Consider the following 23,081-nt stretch of genomic DNA (forward strand, 5'->3'; position numbering starts at 1 on the left):
AGACTCAGACCAGTCCACTGCATTAGCAACCAGGCTGGGCACCCTATGATGGGGGTGAGGGTGGGAGGAAAATGAAAAAGACTACAGTGGGAGGATTGGAAGAAGTTGTTTGTGTGGGTTTAGAAAACTAAAAAACAAAATTATTAAAAGAGACAGACATAGAGAAGTCTTTGCTGGATTAGCACCAACTAAAGAGAAAAAAAATCAGGCCAAGCTTTAAATCACCTCTTCTGGGAAGTGTTTCCGGATTCATTCGCCCAATGTGGGCCATTTAGTTTTCATCTTCCCTGTCTTGTCTGGACCATTTGACCCTGGCTCTGGGGACGACATTCACTTCCAGTTCTCCTCCTTTGTTTTTCTCTGTTCCTTTTGCTAACTCAAGACATGGAGCAGATGCTAAAATAATAATTGGCTGCCCTGTCCCTCCCTTACCATCTTATTATGTGGCATGTAATTGTTTATATGTCCATTTTGGTTAATTAAATGAACTATATAATGTGTGTTTGATTTCCTTTTTTCTTTTTGTTTTTTGAGGCAGGGTCTTGCTCTGCCACCCAGGCTGGAGTGCAGTGGTGTGATCATAGCTCACCATAACTTCAAACTCCTGGGCTCAAGTGATCCTCCCACCTCAGCCTCCTAAGTAGCTAGGACTATAGGTGTGGACCACCACACCTGGCTAATTTTTTGTTATTGTTGAGGTGAGATCTTGCTATGTTGTCCAAGCTTGATTTCCTTTTATACTTTACCTTCCACCCCAGACAAGGGTCTGTTTTTTTTTACCCTGCAATGTGGACACATACAGGTATTCATGAGCTGATCAGGACTTGATTTGGGGTTAGGTAACTGTCTATAGGCTCTTGTGGCTGGTGTCTGTCAGCAACCTGGCAGCCTTTCTGAGATGGGATCATCTCAACAAGGATCTGGGGAAGGGATTGAGCCTTTTTCCTCCTTCCTTCTCAGTTGGGGAAGGGGAGTGGGGATGCAGAGTGTGGGAGGCCTTGGGGAGAAATAACAGAGGGAAGAATGGATGAGGGAGATCTGTGCCTGCAGCAGCAGAGGAAAGAAACTGACTGTCAGCCTTCTCGTCATGTGTCTGTGCCACAGTGCCTCAGTGGTCAAGGGCAGCTTTAGATGCAGAATGTCTCTGAGGCTTTGGGGCACAAGATGGACTGAGTTTTCTGTATGTACACAATCAGTTCCTACAAAGTTGGACCATGGCTTATATTACTTTCAATGGCAAAAACTGCAATTACTCTTGCACCAACCTAATACTTCTCTGTTCTCCATGGTGCCTGCACTGGGATGGGCATACAGTGGGTGCTCCATATTTGTTGAATGAGTCATCATTCTTGTCTTTGTCCAGCTTACACTCTAACTGGGAAAATGAAACATTTCTCCAAGGATCACCAAACTTCAGAGACATTAATAGACTACACATTTTCAAGTGTTAAATAAGAATTTGTTGACCATTGAGTAAATATTTGGCAGTAGGGCTTGGGGTTGGGGAAGTTCAGAAACAATTCATGGTAGCCAAGTCTGGTGGTCTAGGCTATAAAGAAAAAGCATGTCTCTCTTCTCTAAGCAGGGCTGTCATTGCAACCCAGTGAGAAAACTCTGTATCTCTGGGGGCCTCAAACTTCAGTTGAATCAGAATCATCTGGAAATCTGTTTAAATCTGCAGCTGCTGAGGGCTGGCCCAAAGATCTGATTCAGCAGTCCTGGGAATCTGCATTTTTAACAAGCTACCCATTTACTTTTGATGGGAGTCCGTTGGGGACTATACACTTAGAAACACTAGTCTACCCCAGGGGCATTCCTCATACAGTGAAGCCTCTTTGAGCCACATAAGCTTCAGGGATTGCAATTCTTAGGGGATTCACAAATAGTTTTAATAGCAGTAAGGTAGCCTCTGTGGGGCTGGCAGATCCAGGAACCTTGCTTTCCCCAGCAGAGGAGAAAGCATCAATCTAGTCTTTTGTTATCCTTCACTTGTGCAGCCAGGAGACAGATTGGCTGAGCTCCAGTGTATGGAATGGAAAGTGAGGATGCCCTCACGGATGTGTGAGGTTTACACACAGGTGATGAGGGTGAGCTGGCATTTCAGCAAGCCACACCATGGGAGCTGTGAAATGCACCAGAGGATAGAGAGTATCCGAGAGATGACTTGCCATGTTAGGGGATGTCTTTAAAGACAGAAAAGCAAAACTATTTATAAGCCAACATACTTTGCAGAGAATTCAGAAAAACCCAACCAATATACTGCACTTTCTTTCATTCTGACTTTTCCTGCTGCATTTTGGCTCTTGGGTGGGTGTTGAGGATTATGACCGCAACCTTGACAGTAATAACCCAGAGCTGACTCCATACGGACACAGTGCTAAGCCCTGAATACTCCTTGTCTCATCTAATCTTCGCAATGACCCTGTGATGTCTGTGTACCACCACTCTCCATTTAACAATTGAGGAAACTGAGGCTTCAGGAATAACAGGTCCAGGGATCTATAGCTGGTAATTGATGGATCCAAGATTTGCTGTCAGTCCCTAGGTTGGAAACATTATCCAAGGAGGAGATTCTTTTATTTACCTTTCTTCTCTCTCTCTTGTTCTCTTCCCCCATGTGCCAAAATGTGCATTCCTCTCCCATCCAATTTATCCTATATAGCTTCTATTTTTGGTAATTTATTATAGGACATGGGGAGTGGAAATGTAATAGAAAATAGATTTTTTTAAAGCATCCATTTGAAACCAAACCTCTCTTCAGCAAGACACACAGGATGAGTACAGGTTTCTACGCAGGACACTTGATAGCTGAAATCATTACAGAAAAACAGAGCCTTGATTTGCGTGGTTGTTAGCAAAGCCCCTCTCCTGTGATTGTGACAGATGTCTTCTGCTTGATAGATTGCTTTCCACGTTAGATTCAAGGATTCTTTTCTCCCCTTCTTCTTGGTGGGCAGAGGGACATGCTTACCAACATAAAATTCAGCCCAAGTTTTAAAGGTGAGATGCAGAGCCAGAAACTGCCCTTCTCTGAGACAGGCCCCTGAGTGAGCTGTTGTTGGTTTGGGGAAGTGACAGGGTATTAGGGAAGGAGCTTTGGAAGCAGATGGTTCAAATCCTACCTCTCCAGCTCACCTTGGACCAGTTACTTTATTTCTCTCAGTTGCTGTGTCCTGATTCCTAGAACATGGATATTAGGGTTTTGAAGGTAGTGGATGCTGAGGTACATCCCCAGGATCCCTTCCTCAGGACAAGCCTTCATTCCCCAGCTGCTTTAAGTATTGGCAGCTAAGCTTCTCCCTAGGAACTGCACTCAGATATAAAGGATTGCATAGCTCAAAGTTATCCCACTCCCTGGGGGCAGCCTGTGTCCATGTCAAGGGTGAAAAGGCCTGGCCATCTTGTCTCAAGGAAGGATGGATGCAGAGCTCCCCATAGGTGGGCATGTGCCTCTGTTATGGCTGCAGTATAGCTTAACTCCTGCCTAGCCTTCATTCCCACACAGGAGTTTGTCCTTCAGATACTCCCACACTAATTTACCTCCTACATGCACATTTCTGTCTCAGAGTCCTGCATATGCAACTGAAGACACCTCACTTACAGGGTTTTGTGATGATTATATGAGATTATTGATATAAGTGCCTACTCTAGGTCTTGGAAAACAGTAGGTCCTCTGAAAATGTAGGTTGTATTTTATTAGTTTTAAAATTTCCTAGAAACTCTTAGACCAAACAGCTTTTCTGTATTTTGGAAAAGTATTGAGTATGCAGTCATGATCAGGGCTCGATAAATTTCAGCGAAAATAGGAATCCTTTGGAGCTATGAAGGAAGCCCTCGTGTCGATTCATGTCAAACTTCATTATCAGAAGTGGTTTGGGACAGTCAGATCAGCTTTGTGTAATGGAATTTTATTGTGGTGATTTTTTTCTATTTTACAAGAAATCATATACTCTCTGAAGGAGAATCTTCCCAGAGATATTTTCACTTATAGGAAGAGATTAAGCAAACTAAATCTTTTAGTGAGGAATTAATGGGGAGAAGAAGTGTTGTAAATCCAGTAGCTGGGAGGGGTGTGTGTGTGTCCCTAAGGATGTATTGGTGGTTTGTTATTTGCTGGGGGGTTAGGAAACTTAGTCGATGGTTACCAGTGGGAATGGTCAGGATATTGGAGGCTCTGTGGAGGGAAGAGGATCTAGTATACCATTTAAAAAGAACATTTCTTGTAGGTGGTTATAAAAGAAGTAGAAAAGAAATGGGAAGAAATGCACATATTACTGAAATGGATAAGTTAAAAAAATGAAAGACCATTCTTTATCCCTGCCTCCCAACATGAGTTCCATTCCTCAGAGGTAACCACCCTCACAAGTTTAGTCCTTATCTCCCTCAGCTTTCCTCTCTACATGTGTGATCATATGCATGCAAATTTGTAATATGGGTATGTACATATTATCTTTTTGAAAATAAATGGGTTCCATCATGCATTCTACTGTGTAATTTGCTTTTTTTTCCACTCACTGTATTGGATATTTTTCTAGATCCGTATATATAGATCGACTTCATCCTTTTTAATATTTGTGCATAATACTCCATTAAATAGCTGCACTAAAATTTATTTAAAATGACCACCATTGCATTAATTCACAATAGTCAAAATATTGAAACAGCTTAAGTGTCCAATGGTGGCTGAATGGATAAAGAAATTGTGATGTATATATATAATATATATATTATATACACATATAATATATATAATATGTATTATATACACACATATAATATATATAATATATATCATATACACATATAATATATAATATATATCATATACACATATTATATATAATATATATCATATACACATATATAATATATCATATACACATATTATATATAATATATATCATATACACATATTATATATAATATATATACACATATAATATATAATATATATCATATACACATATAATATATAATATATATCATATACACATATATAATATATATCATATACACATATGATATATGATATATATCATATACACATATGATATATGATATATATCATATACACATATGATATATGATATATATCATATACACATATGATATATGATATATATCATATATATATCATATATAGTATATAATATATATTATATAATATATAATATATAATATAGAATATATATAATATATAATATAGAATATATAATATATAGAATATAGAATATATAATATATAGAATATAGAATATATAATATATAATATATATAATATATAATATATAATATAGAATATATATTATATACATATATAATATAGAATATATAATATACGTATATAATATATAATATATATTATATACGTATATATTATATATAATATATATTATATACGTATATATTATATATAATATATATTATATACGTATATATAATATATAACATATATAATATATAATATATATTATATACGTATATATAATATATAACATATATAATATATAATATATATTATATACGTATATATAATATATATAATATATATATATAATGGAATATTATTCAGCCATAAAATGGAAGGAAATCCTGCTATTTGTGACAACATGGATAACCTGGAGGACATTATGCCAAGTGAAATAAGCCGGACACAGAAAGACAAATACTGCATAATCTCACTTACATGTGGAATCTAAAAAAGTTGAACTCATAGAAGCAGGGAGTACCAGGGACTGGCGGGTGGAGGATATGGCGATACGTTGTACAATGGATACAAAATTTCAGTTATAAGCTGAACCAGTTCTGGGGATCTAATGTCCAGCATGGGTGGTGATGGATGTATTAATTTGATTTTGGTAATCATCACATTGAACACCTTGAAAATATTCAATTTTTGTTTGACAAGTATTTTAAAATAAATAGATGAATAAATAAATAAACGATCCCTGATAGATATCCATGTTGTTTCTAGCTGTTTGATGTTGTAAACAATGCTGCAAGTGAATATCCTTGTTCACACATCCGTGATACCATTTAAACATATGACCGTGACTTCCATAGGGTTGGATGCACAGTAGGTGTGGAGTCAATAATTGTTAAATTGGATTGAAGGCTATGTGCATGCAGCTTGCTGAGAGACCAAAGGGGCATAGCTCTGCTTAGCACACCACTAGAGGCTGATTTTTCAGGAGAGATTGGCTATCATGTAGATTTGGACGAGGAAAGGGTCTGGTGCACTGAAGTTCTCCTGGGCGAGAAATTGCTTAGGTCTGATGGTGTATTTACTGGGTCTTCTTGTCATTCTTCATGTCACAGAAAACCTTTTCTTTACATCAAAGTTAGCCTGTGCACTGATGCTAGGAGAGTTGGTGTTTTCTTCCTTTGTAGTTTTGGGGCATGGGCTTTGATCTGAGTGCATTTATGGATGATCACAGGGCTGTCACCCAAGCCTGTTAAAATGTTCACAGGTGCTTCTGGCTTTACATGACAAGGGGGCCTATTCAAAGATAACAGTTGGCCGGTGCTGAGCCTCCAACATGTAAATAAGCATTGAATGTGATCACTTACGAATAGTTAATTTTATGTTGCATCCAGAACATGCTCTATAACATAGTAGTTGATCCACAGACCCATTAATGCATCTAAGTGAGGGGTCTGGTTTAATGAGGCTATTCAGCATATTCATGGTCCTGCCTCTGGTTTAATTCTGTCACTCAGGAATCCAAGCAAGCCCAGCACCATGGATGCTGCCTGCACCTGTTGTGCTTTATCAAAGAGTGACTTTTAAGTTTTTTGTACTATATTACCAAATGTTCAGAGAAGGAAGTTTTCATGAGGGCCGTGAAATAATTGGAACAACTCTTTCTAGGAAGTCATGGACCATGTGAGTTCATTCTGTAGCATTCTTATTTTTTCAAAGCACTCTGTCATTTCTTTTGTATTGCATTCTTGTGAAGTAAGGAAGGCAGGCATTCCCAGCCCCATTTTACAGATGTGGAATCTGAGAGTCTGAGTTTAGTGGCTTGTACAGAGTCACATGGGCCCTGAGACCCAAGGCCTGAGACCCAAGCCCTGATTTCCTGTTTTGTGGTCATTGCACTCTTTTTTGCAAATAACAACTCAATGGACATGTCAAAGTGGTGTACACAAAGACTGAGTACACTTACATATAGCACACTGAGCACACAATGAGTTTAATATGTGCAAATTCCTGAGTAAGAGTTGTTAGGATTTAGTTTTGATTTGATACTCAACAGCCCCTCTTTACTGCCACACCCGTGTTTCAACCTGTTGCTGACCATTCTCTTTAACAGAGGCACACACACACAAATATGCATTTAAGGATGATCACACTGCTCCCACAAATTAAATAAAAAGTTATTTTGGAAGAAAGACGGATGATGTCATTCATAATTAGACCCATTATTGAACAAATGGCTATCCTGTGTAACTCTAGGCTGGACATAGAGAAGGCCAGAACTTTGCAAAAGAATTGTCCCTACCCTGAGAGGCTGGCATTGTAGTTGGGGAGATGAGAAGATGCAATTAGATAACACAGGGAAGTGTGTAATCAGTTGTCCATCATGAGCTATGAAAACCTTTATTTCCCTAGGATTTTGGGGAAAGTAGGGTCACTGTGGGATGGAGGAGTCAAGGAAGCAGCATGGGTCCTTAAATTCTCGTAACAAAGGATCTTAGGTGCTAGGTGGAATTTGGATGAAGGGAATGGGAAAAGGAAGACGATTCTATCACACTATAAGCTCCAAAAATTTGGGGTTCAGAGAGGAAACATCAGATAGCTGTAAAGAGAAGGGATCCATCGTCTTCTGATTATATTTGTTAGTTTCCAGAGGAACTTACAGAGTGCCCAAATCACTGATTCCTGGGACGTTTTGCAAATAAAAGTCCCAAGGGTTTAGGTATAAAAGGATAAAAGCCTGGACCACCAAATGTCTTGCAGACTCAATACTTTGGACTTTAGCTGTGGGTGTCCCAGATTTCCTAGTTGTCATTGCTATGTCATCACCATCATCATTATCCACATGTGACATGTTTGCAGAGCTCTTGATGGGGGAGGTTCTGTGGTATTAGAAAACTTGTTTCCCTGGAGTCTCCTTAAGAATATAAAACTGACCCTAAATATGAATCAGTATTTTACCAAGTAATTGCCAAACAGCAAACAAGTATGAGCTCAGAGGGAAGAGTTAACTTTGGGCTAAGATATCTAGGATGGTTTCAAAGATGAGATGGGACCCAACTGGCTCTTGACAAGTATGTGGGCTCAGCGTGTTAGATGAATGAGTAGAAGATGAATGGCAAGACCATTGCAGATCTTTGAAAAGACCTTAGAAAACTACCTTTGGAGATGTGTGGAAGTAGGAATATGATGGCATGTTTGGGAAAGAGTAGACCAGCTTTTTTGAAGAGCCGGGTCCTTGTGGGATATTAGGTAAAAGGAGGAGAAAGGGGCTATGATATGGGGTCTTTAATGTCAGTTTGAAATGTCTAAGAATTTAGATACAAAGTATTATAAAACCACAAAGGTAATCAGGAAATTCTAGATTGTTGGAAAATCATAGGAGCTAATAGATTTTTTAAAATATGAATGATTCTAAAAGATGGATGATTTGCTGTTACCTGTTATGGTAACTGCATCTGGATGCAATGTGAGCTTTGTTCTAGTAGCAATTCATTATGAGATACTTACAGATTATTTTCTCACCTAGTCTTGAATAAAAATGTAATAAATACCCATCCAAGGGGCTGTTGACAAATTGCAAACATAATATGCCACAGACCAGAATTAAGTCAAAGCATTGCCTAAGGTTGGGCTTCAGAGTCACAAGTGGTTGCTTGGACGCTGAGCTGTGATTTTAGGAGTGGGTGGTTTGCCCTGAGCCATCGGCATTCTGCTTCCTGATCACTTTGTGTAGGAAAATAAGGTGGCCTGAGGTGTGCATTCCCTGTACTGGTCAGGAAGCTTTGAGTGACAAGTGAAAGAAATGAAACTCAAACCTTAACCAAATGAAAAACTTAACTAAAAATCCAGCATGGAAGTAGCTTCAGTCATGGCTGGAGCCAGAGAGGCTCAGTGTGGTTATGAGTCTGGCTTTTTCTCTCTCTGTTTCCAATGCTGCTTTCCTCATTGTTAGTTTCATGTTCCAGCAGACTCCATGTGATGGGAAACGTGTGTTCTGGCAATTTAGAGCTTGCATTGACCAAAGGAGAGTAGGTATATATTCTCTTTCTCTTCCTTTCTTCATTTTATCCCTGAAATTGTTGACCCCACTTGGATCATGTGTCTACCCCACCTCTGGACCAATTACTGGTCAGCTTGAGGAGGCAGAACTCTCTAATTGACAGCCTCATCAGAATAAAATGGAGTCGGGAGAGCAGTTTCCGAAGGAAGGGACATGGGCCAGACTAAAGTGGGGGTGGGTAGGGAGGGAGAGATCAAAGTGATACCAACTGATGCTGACTGTCACGGGGTGGGGCTTTATGGTCTTTTGGCTTTAGGTGCTCTCCGGTCCACACAGCCAGCCTCATGCCTAGAATAAAAGGCAGGGGCTCAGCCTTAGCCTGGAGTACAACAAAGGATGTGAATATCAGAGACAGGGACCTATTGGATCTCACAGCCAACCACAGCCCAAGCTTTTTAAGTCTGTAGAAAGTGACTTACCTCTTTGAATTTTTATTCCGAATTCCAGTTAAAGTTATTCATACTGATAGAAGACTATTATTGCTTAGCCTTCAGAAGAAGAAGAGGTTGAAGTTCTTCCCTTAGAAGTTACCAGAATTTAATTCGTGGAAAGTTTTCCATCTTGCATTTGCTGTACTTGGACTAAGGCTCTTGTAGGAGATAAAATCCCTGGCTTTTGTTCCTATTTACTGTGAGTTCTACCTCTCTGGAAAACAATCTGGGCCTGGAGAAAATATACATAAGCAATGTTTAGCATTTACCTGTTAGGGTCTTATAAAAATCTCATAGCAAGTGCAGTTAATACATCCTTTCCAAACCATTTGTTTGGAGAAAGAGGACAAGGGGTAGGAGACGGATCTGATTTTCTCCATTTGGCTGATACAGGAAGTAGTACATAGGAGGGTTAAGAGATTTTCAAAGGAATATTAGTGGCAAAACTGAAAGACAGAAAATTGCACTCTTAATTACAAATCAGTTTTCTTAACAATCGGTCTTTGTCTTTTCTGATTCTAGTATGTTATTTCCTTTCAAAAGGGTAGCACCTTCAACAGTCACTTTCACTGGAGAGCCCATTCAAATCCATTGGTGAGCCCAACGGATCGTAGCCAAGAAATCATTTAATGAGATCTAGACCATTTTACAAGGCATGCTGGGTTTCCATTTATTGTAGTACTGCATTCAATGTGTGCATTTCTCTGATTTTTCTTTCAAAATAGAATGAAAAAACTTTGTTTTCTGTAGCTTTCTCACTGATTGCTAATCCTAAGTGCAGTGGTAATGAAGGGTGTAGCTGTCTGGTTCAAGAGTTCAGGCAAGAGTAGATATTATTGACAAGAGGCTTCTAAGCAGGTATCAAGTATTGAATAAATTTGTTTTGTGATTTTTTTTTCGGTATTGGGTAGAAAAATTATCCTTTCCAGCACTCTGAACATCAGTAATATTTTATTTAATTTTGGCTGCTATTGTTGATGCTCATGTTGTTATTATGTGAGTTTGTGTGAGGAGCTGGTAAATTTCTTTTGTAAAAGGGCATATTGTAAATATTTTGGTTTTGTGGGCCACCGGGTGAGCTACTGGACTCTGCTATTGTGTGAAAGCAACCATACACAATGCATACATGAATGGGTGGGCCTGTGTTCCAATAAAGCTTTATTTACTGAAACAGATGGAGGGTCAGACTTGGCTCATGGGCAGTAGTGTGCAGACTGCTGGTGTATACAGTCTGTTGGATTCTGTCTATGCGGACCGCTGTGTTTGAGCACAATGGAAACACACTGTGTTTTCATATGGTTTCTGCAGCTGCCATCCAGTTCCCTTCCTTTTCCCTTCAGAACTGTGTTACAGGATACAATTAATATCACTATTACTTTTTGAGACCTAGTCTCTCTTTGTCGCCCAGGCTGCAGTTCAGTGGCACGATTTCAGCTCACTGCAACCTCTGCCTCCCAAGTTAAAGTGATTCTGCTGCCTCAGCCTCCTGAGTAGCTGGGAATACAGGTACCTGCCCACCACCATGCCTGGCAAATTTTTATGTTTTCAGTAGAGATGGGGTTTCACCATGTTGGCCAGGCTGGTCTTAAACTCCTGACCTCAAGTGATCCGCTTGCCTTGGCCTTCCAAAGTGCTGGAATTACAGGCGTGAACCACCGTGCCTGGCAGGATACAGTTTTTAAGTGATGTTTCCAAGAGCTCCATTTCCAATGTTTGCATTTTCATCTTAAGAGCTATGAACCTTGGACTGTACTCAGGGGCCTGATTTTAGTTCTTCAGAAGCAAAGACTGTAAAAATCTTCCTGTTCTGGTGCTGGGGTTCAGGTACATGGTCTAGTGAAATGGCACTAGACAAATGATAATAGAGTGCTAGACTGGGTGACCCTGAGCAAACCACTTAATCTCACTGAGTCTGGTTTCAACTATACGAATATCTAGCTTGCTCATTCCACAGGGTTGTTGTGAGGATCATTCATTCATTCAGTTTCTCTTTAGTGAGCACATACTTCCTGCCCTGGCTTTTGCTAGGCATTGGAGAAATAATGGCAAACAAAACAGGGAAAGGCCTACCCTTATAGAGCTTACTTTCAAGTGATCAAATTTGTTGATGTAAGGGAGAGAACACTTCAAATCGATTGATTATACAAGAAGTTAGATTTTCCTGACCATTTTAAACAAATAGCATCCCAAAGTCCAAGGGAAATTTTGGTCATTTTATTAAGAAGTTGAAGTCTCAAGAAAGCCAGTTGGATGGCAGTTTAGATAAAATGATTCGGGTTGAGGGCCAGGGCAGGGAAAGAATGAAAACCAAGTTTAAAAGTGGCCTGATAGGTCAAATGGTATTTCTGGTTCTAGATCCTCGAGGAATCGCCATACTGTCTTCCACAATGGTTGAACTAATTTATGTTCCCAACAACAGTGTACAAGCATTCCTATTTCTGCACAGCCTCGCCAGCATCTATTGTTTCCTGAATTTTTAATAATTGCCATTCTGACTGGTGTGAGATGGTATGTCATTGTGGTTTTGATTTGCATTTCTCTGATGATCAGTGCCATCATCCTCAGCAAACTAACACAGGAACAGAAAACCAAACACTGCATGTTCTCACTCATAAGTAGGAGTTGAACATTGAAAACACATGGACACAGAGAGGGAAACAATACACCGGGGCCTGCTGGAGGGTGGGGGGTGAGGGGAGGGAACTTAGAGGATGGGTAAATAGGTGCATCAAACCACCATGTCACACGTATACCTATGTAACAAACCTGCACATTCTGCACATGTATCCTGTTTTTTTTTTTTTTTTTAAGAAGAAATGAAGAAAAAAAAAAGTGGCCTTATAGAGCTGCTTTCTACTAAAGTTCACTTCTGAAAGAAATCAGAGAGGTTTTCGACTCCATCAGGGTTCCAAACCTGAGGAGATTACCATTAAAGTCAGCTAGTCAAGGGTAAAAATTAGAGTGTAGGAGGATTCATTTTGAAACATTGTCAGCAACCAGCTGGAAAAAAATAGCAGCGACTGTGATTACTAGGAAATTTCTTGGAGGGTGTAGAAGTGTATCAGGTAATCTAATCTGTCACCTACTTCAGTGGCCTTTGGGTGGTTGGATAAGCATTTCAGTTTAGAAGTAAATATCACTGAACAGGAGGGAGAATAACATGGTTATTTAAAACTCTGAGGCCTTTTGGCCAGTTTTGGATTTGTTGTCAGCCAGACCTGATAGCTCATCCAAGTTTCCTTCTATGACTTTTTTTTTTTTTTTTTAGACAGGGTCTCTCACTGTCGCCCAGGCTGGAGTGCAGTGGCACGATCATGGCTTAGTGCAGCCTTGACTTCCTAGACTCAAGTGATCCTCCCACCTCAGCTTACTGAGTTGCTGGGACTACAGGTGTGCACCACCATGCCCAGCTATTTTTGTTTGTTTGTTTTAATTTTTTAGGGACGATATCTCCCTATGTTGCCCAGGCTAGTCTCAAACTCCTGGGCTCAAGCAATCCTCTGGCTTCAGCCTCCCAAAAAGCTGGGATTACAGGAATGAGTCACCATGCCCCAGCTGACTTCTACAGGTTCAACTACAATATTTACAGAGGGAGATCTTTGGGTCCTGGGTGAGGAGGGAAACTGGGGATGGGGTAGGGATGGGTAAAGGGGTCAACAAATTAGAGGCAGACCTGCTTACAGCCTTCTGAAGATAGACTTTCTGCAGAATGAATGTGAAAAGGTTTTGTAAAGTGTAATGGACCAATTTTTCCCTAGTACTCTAGGGAATGTGTGTTCCATCCATGCAGATCCTTGCATCGTGCCTGTAAAATAGCAAACATGCAAGCAACTGTGGAAAGGATCATCTTTGCCATCTTATGTTCAGTGTTCCAGCCATACCAACTCATTTGCAGATCCCCAAATGCACTATGTGCCTTTATAGATGCTGTTTTGGTGCTTGGCCTACTCTCCCCCTCTACTTTGCCTTGCTAGCTCTTGCATCCTCTTTAAGAGTGTACACAGGTGCCCTTTCCTTCCTGGAGGTTTTCTTCTCTCCTCCTCCACCACAAGTCTGGTTCAAATGCTCCACCTTAACCCCCTCTTCCCTCATTTCCCAACCCCAGATATGTCTATTATAGCCCATGTCTCAATAAATTGTAGTCATTTGTATTTTATGGTGGAGACCAATTCTTGGTAATTGAAAAATTTGTCTGAACTTTAGGGGAATCATTAAAAAATACATAATGCCCTGGACATATTATTTTAACTTAAAGTTTAGAGATGTGTATTTATTTGCTCATCTTTTGATATGGGCAGGCCTTCGTTTTTTTTTTTTTTTTTTTAATTGGTCTGCTGATTAGAGTTCCGGATTATCTTTCTTGTTTAACTCACATCCATAATACATCATCTATGATTTCCAGTGCCCGATTTTTTTTTTCATGGAATAGAAACCAACTGGGAAAGCAATTTAAAGACTCTAGATTCTCCCTACTCCCAGTATTTTATACTTTTCCCACTCACACCGAATTAGGTTCAACTACATTTTTAAGTGACTTACCTTTATCAGGTCTTTGCAAAACATTTAACTAAACTTTGACAGAAGCTTTTATTGGTACTCATCTTCTGTTGATTTACATATTACTTAATTAAACAATGTAATTATAATGACATGTAATGACAATGATAAATGGTTTTGAGAATGGACACGGTTGGCTCCTGTAAACACATACCTCAGTTGTGGGAGAAGCAGTGCTTGTGTATATGAGAATGGAATAACAGGTGACCCGACTGGTAGGAGTAGCATGAAGTAGGCATCAGAAGCAATGGAGAATCCCAGTTAATCCAGCAGCTCAGTGGAGCACAAGTTAAGGGAGCAACATAGATTGAGCTAGCCCAGTGCCTGTTCGAGTGGATATTCAATAATTTGTTAAATAAATGTGAGAATGATCCAGGAAGTCGAGAACTTCTGGGGATATGAGCTTCAGGACCACTGGATTTGAACTCGTAATTGGCCATCTCCTCTACCTAGAGGGGTGCTGGGCCCGAGTCAAAAGCCTAGAACTTAACCACTGTCTGCAAAATGAGACTGTGAAGAGAAATCTCTCTCCAATAACAGGGTGCAGATTTCTTGCCGAGGCTGCTAGCTGTTGCTGACGAGTGAGTATGAAAGTCTCCCTCCTTGCTCCCTGGATGACCTCTTTGCCATTCCTTCTTGTTTAAGCTCCTCTTCTTTGGCTCTGAAACCTGTGAAATGTTTGGAGACTAGAGTTTCTTTTGTTTGTTTGTTTCTTTTCTTCTTCTTTTTTTTTTTTTTTTTTTTTTTTTGAGAAGGAGTCTTGCTCTGTGGCCAGACTGGAGTGCAGTGGCACCATCTCAGCTCACTGCACCCTCTGCCTCCCGGGTTCAAGCGATTCTCCTGTCTCAGCCTCCGGAGTAGCTGGGGACTACAGGCGTGCACCACCACGCCCAGGTGATTTTTGTATTTTTAGTAGAGACAGGCTTTCACCATGTTGGCCAGGATGGTCTCCATCTCTTGACCTCGTGATCCGCCCACCTCGGCCTCCCAAAGTGCTGGGATTACAGGCGTGAGCCACTGTGCCCGGGCCAGAGACTAGAGTTTCTTGAGAGATATACTACTGAAAGAAGCTATCTGTATTAAAATTCAGTATGTGTAAACTACTTTAATGAACCTGGTTCCACCGTAGCATATGGGAAGTCAGATGGTAAGGGGTGCGATGTATGCATCAGTGTCCCTCTCCTGGTATAGTCCCACTTCCCTGTGGATAAATTTACCTTACCTATAGGGAGGCACTCACAAGAAGCTTATGCACACACACATACACATATGTACATTTATGTGTTTTATTTATACCTACATAAACATGTATATGCACACATACATAATGTATACATGTACATCTATAAGCTATAGGTCTATAATGACTTTTTCTTCTAAACGTGAGAAGAAAAATGATTTTTTCTTTTAAACGTAAGTGTGGGCACGTGGAAGATTGCTGTGGTTGCAAGGTCAGCTCTTGCAATCTAGGGACTGTGGAGAGAGACAGAGACTAAAGTTTTTCATATGTGTGTGGTATTGGAGTGGGGGTTGCTTAAATTAATAAGTTAATGGAGAGAAGTGTGAGCTATCTGAGGCATCGCATAGAGACAGGGCAGTCAGGCTTATCCACAAGAAGGAGCAGTGGGAATTGAGTCCAAGAGCCAGAAAAACATACTGATGTAGTGGCTAAGAGCACGTTTCCTAGTTTCAAATAGTTGTGGGTACAAAATCTGGCTCTGCTACTTACTAGCTGTATATCTAGGCAACTTACCTTAGTGTTTCATGGTTTAGTCCATAAGAAAGAGAATAATAGGACTTCCTTCACAGAGCTGGTATGATAATTAGATTTTATATGTAAAGTAATATACATAGTGTCAGCCATTCAGTAAGATACTTAAAAATGTGATATTCTTATAAATATTAATTGTATCTGGGGACAGCACAGGAACCTGCTATGGGGGCACTTTTTGGTAGTAATTGAGATCTAAAGACCCTCACTGAACCAGACTCTCTGATTAACACTGAGTAGTAAAGTGTAGTTCCAGGTACTTTGGGGCTAGGGGGAATCAACGAAGTAGATTTCAGGACCACCACAATGCAGGTTTGCATATAATAGGAGAGAGGTGGCCAACATCCATAGAAGGAGGACCTGAATCACATTCAAGGAAAATATATAAATGAATATCAACGATGAGATCCTATCCCATGCAGGGGTTGAGATACCCTGGGCAGTTTGTTTCACCTGCCTTTAATCACTGAGATTAACACTCAAAGGCTGAGAGCTAGTTAAAATGTATCTGCCTCCTGCCTATTTCCGAAACCAGAATAGAATGCCTGTTGCTTCCCTTCCCCCATCCCCAGCCCACTCCAAGCCTGTTCTTTATCCCTTATATTAGGAAGGATTTGCCCATGACAGTCTTGAGACCTAATGTCAGATACACTTGGGATGCAGATCTTTTATTGAAGAGAAGGTTGGACTTGACAGTGAGAGGGGTTGAGATGAATGAGTTTCCATTGTATTTATAGAAACTCAGTGCAATATCTCTCAAGGTATAAATAGAACAATGAAGTGTTGACAAAGGGGCTGGTTTTCTGTAACTGTGGAAACCCTGCAATTATTCCTGGAACTACACTCATTGTTTATCTGCATCTGAATTTTAATAAACAGGGCTCTTGCTGCTTATTCATGAATTTTCAAATGGAAATATCTCTCCCATTATTATCCCCTTCTTGTGAGTCAGGCCCCATCTTGCAAATTTGCAGCTGAGTAAATATACGGAACATTAGCAGCAATTAGATAATTGGTGCCCCGGATCAGCCCACCCACAGCTGTGAATGAATATGGGCTGCATGAGTGTCACCTGGTGCAGCCTTCCTGATGGCACTGCATGCCACCACAGTCTTGCAATTAAGCACAGAATTTTACCAGCCTTAGTCCTGGCCCTCCTTTCTCCCAAGAGACCCAGACTAGCAAGGTAAGTGAGGTTCCCTATTCTTCCAGCTGTCATCATACAATGAGAGATGTTAGGCCAAAGAAGTTGGTAAAGAAGAGAAAGTCCATGTATCTTCGCTTAGCTGATTGCTAAATTGCTTCTGATAACTTGTTTGGTGCATATAGCCAGCAAAAATTCATGTTTGGATCTGGGCTGGGGAGTTGGGTCATAAATCCTGTTTTTCTGTAAATCTCCCAAAACTTGCTAGCTCTGGGCTGGCCACATTTCTTCCCCCCCATCATCAGTTTTTTGGCCTCTGGCATTAACTTGGGATTCCTTTTAGCAGCCATATTTTAATCTCTCTTTCCTTTGGATAATATTTCTTCCAGGCCTCAGACTGCACTGGGTGCCTTTGCCAGCTCATGCTTTGCTCCTGTTCCTCAGGCAATCACAAAGCCCTTTTGAGGCATATAGATTTTGTTTTTTAATTGCTAGAGACTTCAGGAAAACAGAGTACTATTGCAAAAGGGAAAGTGGCAAGAGGGCTGCGCCTGCTATTATGACATTATGATGGAGGCTCATTAGCGTGCAGTGGAGCCACTTCTTTTCCTCCTCTGCCTTGGCCACCTGGCCCATCTCCTCGCTTTTGCTTTTGGTTAGACAGCAATTCTGTCTAGCCCTCCAGTCTCTCACACTCATTCTCCAGCCTCACACTCCCTGGAAGCTTTCCCAGGTTACTTCTTTCCTTTTTTATTGCATCCACCTTCTGTGTGTTTGGGAGGAGGCGGGTAGAGAGGGAGTTGGAAATAGTGAGGTAGAGGGGGAGATTTGGGTTGGGTGTTTGGATCTGGGAATGCGTCACATGGAATTCATTCATCTCCTGGAGATCCTTCCAGGCCACCTCACTGTGTCCCTGCATAGCAGGAATGTCATATTGGGCAATGAACAGTGGTCTCCAAGGAAAGCTCCAGAAGAAGTTGAAGTCTGGGTGGGATTTTGTGCCAATTCTCCCCTGTTTTTTTGATATGTACCATCCCTTTATAGGCATGGGATACATTATCTTTTGTTTATTATTAGAATTTTTTTACATTGCTAATATTTAACATCATTCATGTAATACTAAAAGTACATTTCCTGTACTGAGCACCTACTCTGCTTTATGTACAATTATATATCTTTTCAGCACCCCATGAGATTAATCTTATGATGTCCATTTGACAGATGGGGAACTCAGATTCAGAGAAGTTTAGGAAACATTACAAGGTCACAACAGCTAGTATGTGGCAAAGATGGAGTCCACACTTAGGCTTAACTAATTGCAAAGCCCATACTCTGAAACTGTGCTAAATTGCAGGACTCAAGTCATTTTGGGATACAATTAATGTCTGACTTGTTCTTTGCTTGAGAGTGAGATGTTATCTGTATAGCCTGCATTTTGGTTCCTTAAATAATGTGTCCAATTTGGTGAAGCCATTAAAAACACAAACTCAGGCAGTGGTGTTGGTTTTTTTTTTTTTAATTAAAAAAATTTTTTTTAACCTTTGCTGAATTTTCCCTTCTAGCTAGAAACTAGTTTTCCCAGTACTCTCTTGGTTCTTACTGCTGCCAACACATCAGATGTATCAACCACCTGAAATTGGGCTGCAGGGGTAGAATTTATTTGCAAACATTTTAATTTCCCTGGTGATAAGCAAATTAATTTTGTTGCAACTCTTTAACATTCTAATCGAATGATGGAATGTCACTGAATGTATTTTACAGATCAAAGACAGCCAACGTCTTCCCATCTTTCAGAAAAAACAGAGCTGAGACCTGAGTCTGCATTTTCCTTTGCCCTATAGCCCAACCCAGCTTATCCTCCTGAGCTTGAGAAAAGTCATTTGACTGAGGCTGTCAAATCTGCAATCCAGCCAAAGTGCTGGCAGTCACCTGTGCTGGGGAAGGACCTTTGCTTCATTTATTCATGTATCACATATTTCTTAGGTGTCTACTATGTATGTACCAGGCACTGTTCTGGCTCAGTAGTGAAAAAAACGGGCAAGTCTCTTTGCTGTTCTCTCAGAGGAGGCAGAGGATAAACTAATGAACAAATGCAATGTACAATCCATGAAGAAGAGCAAAGCAACATAATACATACAGAATACTGGGGTTGCTGTTTGAGAGGGCTTCTCTGGGGAGGTGATATTTGAGAAAAGCCAGAATGAAGTGACGAAGAACATTTCAGCCAGAGGGAACAGCACATCCATGAGGTTTATGCTCATCTTCAGATCAAACCCCCACCCCCACCTCATCCAGAGCAATGAATTGTCCTGAACTGAATATTCTGTAGTTGTCCATTCTTGTGGCTCATAGGAGCTTTCTCCAGACCAACTTCTTTGGAAAATGCTTATTTCATCTGAGTTCCTCTCTCATTAAGAAGTTTAGGGAAAAGTAGACAGCATCACCATAAAAAGGCAACATGTGAAGCATGAGGAGGAGGGGACAGTAACATGGATTTGCAATTTCTGCCTCTGTTGGCCAAGCAGTGGCATTTGTGAGTAGATGGAACAAAATGTTGGGAGATTAGATGGACGTTTCCAGGATCATCCATTGCAAATATTTATCAATTTCTTATTATGTGCTAGAGCTTGTGAGATGAGGTGGAACCACTTTGGTATGCAAGTCCCTTCATCAATAATTTATTATTGTTATTAATTTATTTTTATTGAACAAATCTTAGCTGTCATTATTCTTGAGCACTTACAATATACCAGGTACTGTTCTAACCACTTTACATGAATTAACTAATTTAATCCTCACAACAGGCCTAGGTTCTTTTATTGTCCATGTTTTATGATTGAGAAAAAGGAAGCACAGAGAGGTTGATAATTGCCCAGGGTTGCACACTGACATCTGATCCAGGTTTTAAACTTGGACAGTCTGGGAATGAACATCTGTAATTTACTGCGGGCCATGCACTGTGGTGAGAGCTGTCAGCTTAGTGCTTTTAAGTGGTGAGAGCTGTCAGCTTAGTGCTCTTATCTTTACATGAGAAAACTGAGGCTGGAAAGGTCAAGCGTCTTACTGGAGGCCACATAGTTGGGCAGCTGCAGAATCCAGAATCTAACATGAAATCTAATCTTTCTGGCCGTAAGGCTGTGTTTTAAGGGCTCTGTTAAGCTACCCTTCCTAGCAATCCAGCTCAGGCCACACTCACTTTCTGGGAGTGCAGGGAGGACCAGAGCTAGCTCCTGCCTTGGGCAATTTCCCAGCACCAAGTTGTGGCCCCTCCTCTGCCTTGCATTTCTGCATAGAGACAGATTCAAGGTGAGAACTGGCCTCTGGGGATTATGGTGGAGTTGTACTGGAAGGACTTTTGGAAGCATCACAGGCTACTGAGTCCAGGGTATTGTGGCTCTGGGACACCTTGAGGAAAGTTCAGAGTTGGGGATATTTGAGCTAAGGGTGTTGTCCTGTGAGTTCTGTGCCTGGAGGACATAGGAAGGGAAGGGAAGGGAAGTGAAGGAGGATGGAACTAGTTTATGCCAAGTTAATCACCACTGCCTGCCCCGCTTTTCCATATCTCTCATGATGTTTCTATGGCACCCTTCCAATAACCAAGTTACCATTAGTTTTCAGGTTTTTGTTCTTATTGTACTGGATCCTCAGCACATAAGTTTCTCCCCTTTCCTACTCTCGTGATTCTTCCAGATAATAACAACAATCAAAAGTAGCAACAAATAATTTGGCTCATTCTTCCCACTTTACAAAGTACTTTATGTATGCATCATCTCCTTGAATCCGGTTAACAACCTTGTGAAATATCATTATTTCAGACCTGTACCAGTATGAGGAAATGGGGGTTCAGAAAGGTTCCTTGACCTGCCTGTTGCCACACAGCTACTAAGTAACTGCCAGAGCCCAATTCTAGTTGCTTAACTCTTCCCCTTTCTGCCACGCAGCCTCTCCAAATAATTTCCTAATTAGTCTATTTAACGATTCTCTGTCAAGCTGGCTTCAGTTGCCCTTGCAAAGACAAGCTTGAGTGAAATCAAATGATTTCACTGCTGAATGAAAACATTTGCATGATGCTATTTTCTAAGCCATCCTCACATGTGAGTCTCTTGGCTCAGGAAGCCAATCCAGGTTGGGGGAGAGCTGTAGAGGCTGAGGAGGGATAGGATTCCTTTCTTGTCATAGGTGAGCTAGTTAGAATTCCCAGAGCCTGGCAGCGTGTTCCTTGAAGGGCCAGTATGTCTAGGGAAGGAAGAGACAGAGGAGGCCTCCATCTTGTAACAACAGTAAGTGTTCCTCTTGCTGAGAAAATGCTCACAGCTGAAGGATAGCTATGGACCTACTGCTTCCAACATAGGAACCCTCTTTCCAAGTGGTCTTGGCCCCTAAGTAACCCAGATGAGGACAAACTGGATAATTCAGTCAAGGAAAATTAACAAGCACCTACTGTGTGATGGGGATATAGCAATTTATAACCCATGGTCTTGAGGGGTTTGCTTTCCAGTGGGTGACAGTCAGTAAACAAAATAAATTATTCCGTATGTTAGAAAATGCTATGGAGAAAAATAAAGCAGGGTATGGTATGTGCTATGGGTGGGATTTCAGATAAACAGGATTTAAAGTAACTGGGCAGGTTTTATTTATTTTCAAGATGTGCATTCAGTTTATTAAAAAACCCCAAACACGAAAATTTGCACAGGGCCAGGCAGTGCAATATACCAGCCTTTCTCAAGTGTGTGTGCGTGTGTGTGTGTGTGTGTGTGTAGTGTGGGTGCGTGCATGCATATAAAATGAAACTTCAAAGTGACAAGAAAGCTTTTACTCCAGGCAGGTGCTATGTCACCTTTCCTCATCTGTGCTCTTCCCAACACAAGGTTGTCATCTTTGTTGCATGTGGGTGGTGGTAACAAAGAAGAAGTCCCAACCCTCCTCAGCCTCAGCAGCCTCCTGTAAACCTGAGGGAAAAATCAGCTTTCACCTTTTGTCCTTTTCTGTGGGATGTTTTTCTTTTTCTTAGCTCATGTCATCATGCTAGCTGTACGTTTTTTGGGTAGATATTCTTTACCAAACTGAGGAAGTTCCCCTCTGTTTCTAGTTTGCTGAGAGTTTTTATCATGGTAGATGTTGGATTTTGTCAAGTCCTTTTCCCACATTGATTGATGTGATCGCAGGGTTTTTCTTCTATAGTCTGTTGATGTAGCGGCTTACATTGGTTGATTTTCATATTGAACCAACCTTGCATATCTGGGATAAATCCCATTTGGTTGCATTATATAATTTTTTTTATATATTGTTGAGTTGATTTGCTAATATTGGTTGGGGATTTTTACATGTGTGTTCATGAGAGATAATTCGTCTGTAGTTTTCCTGTCTTACAATGCTGTTATCTGGTTTGGGGGTATTATAGAATGCTTCTGTTTTCTAGAAGAGATTGTAGAAAATTGGAATCATTTCTTTCTTCAGTGATTGGTAGAATTCATAGGTGAAAGCATCAGGCCTGGTGATTTCTTTTTTGGAAGGTTTATTATTGACTCAATTTCTTTAACAGAAATAGGGATATTCAAGTTATTTATTTCTCCTTGTGTGAGTTATGCTAGTTTGTGTCTTTCAATGAATTGGTCCATTTTATATGAAGTATCAAATTTGTAAGCATAGTTATCTGTAGTAGTAATTTATTATCCTTTTAATGTCAGCAGAATCCATAATGATGACTAGTCTTTTATTTCTGATATTGGTAATTTGTGTCTTTTTTCTTTTTTTCCTGGTTATCTTCATGAGATATTTGTCATTTTTATTGATCTTTTCAAAGAACCAGCATTAGGTTTAATTAATTTTCTCTATTGTTTTTCTGTTTTCAAGTTCACTGAATTTTGCTCAAATTTTTCTTCTTTCTTTTTTTCTCACCTGCTTTAAGCTTAAATT

At 40.4% G+C, this 23,081-nt stretch overlaps 1 protein-coding gene across 1 annotated transcript in view; it reads left to right on the forward strand.

The window, feature by feature from the left end:
• The window catches only part of SORCS3 (sortilin related VPS10 domain containing receptor 3), a 623,953-nt gene that overhangs the window by 49,938 nt on the left and 550,934 nt on the right, over positions 1–23,081 (forward strand). The window lies entirely within an intron of this gene.

The sequence above is a fragment of the Homo sapiens genome, chromosome 10, assembly GCF_000001405.40.
Source record: "Homo sapiens chromosome 10, GRCh38.p14 Primary Assembly".
Taxonomy (NCBI): Eukaryota; Metazoa; Chordata; class Mammalia; order Primates; family Hominidae; genus Homo; species Homo sapiens.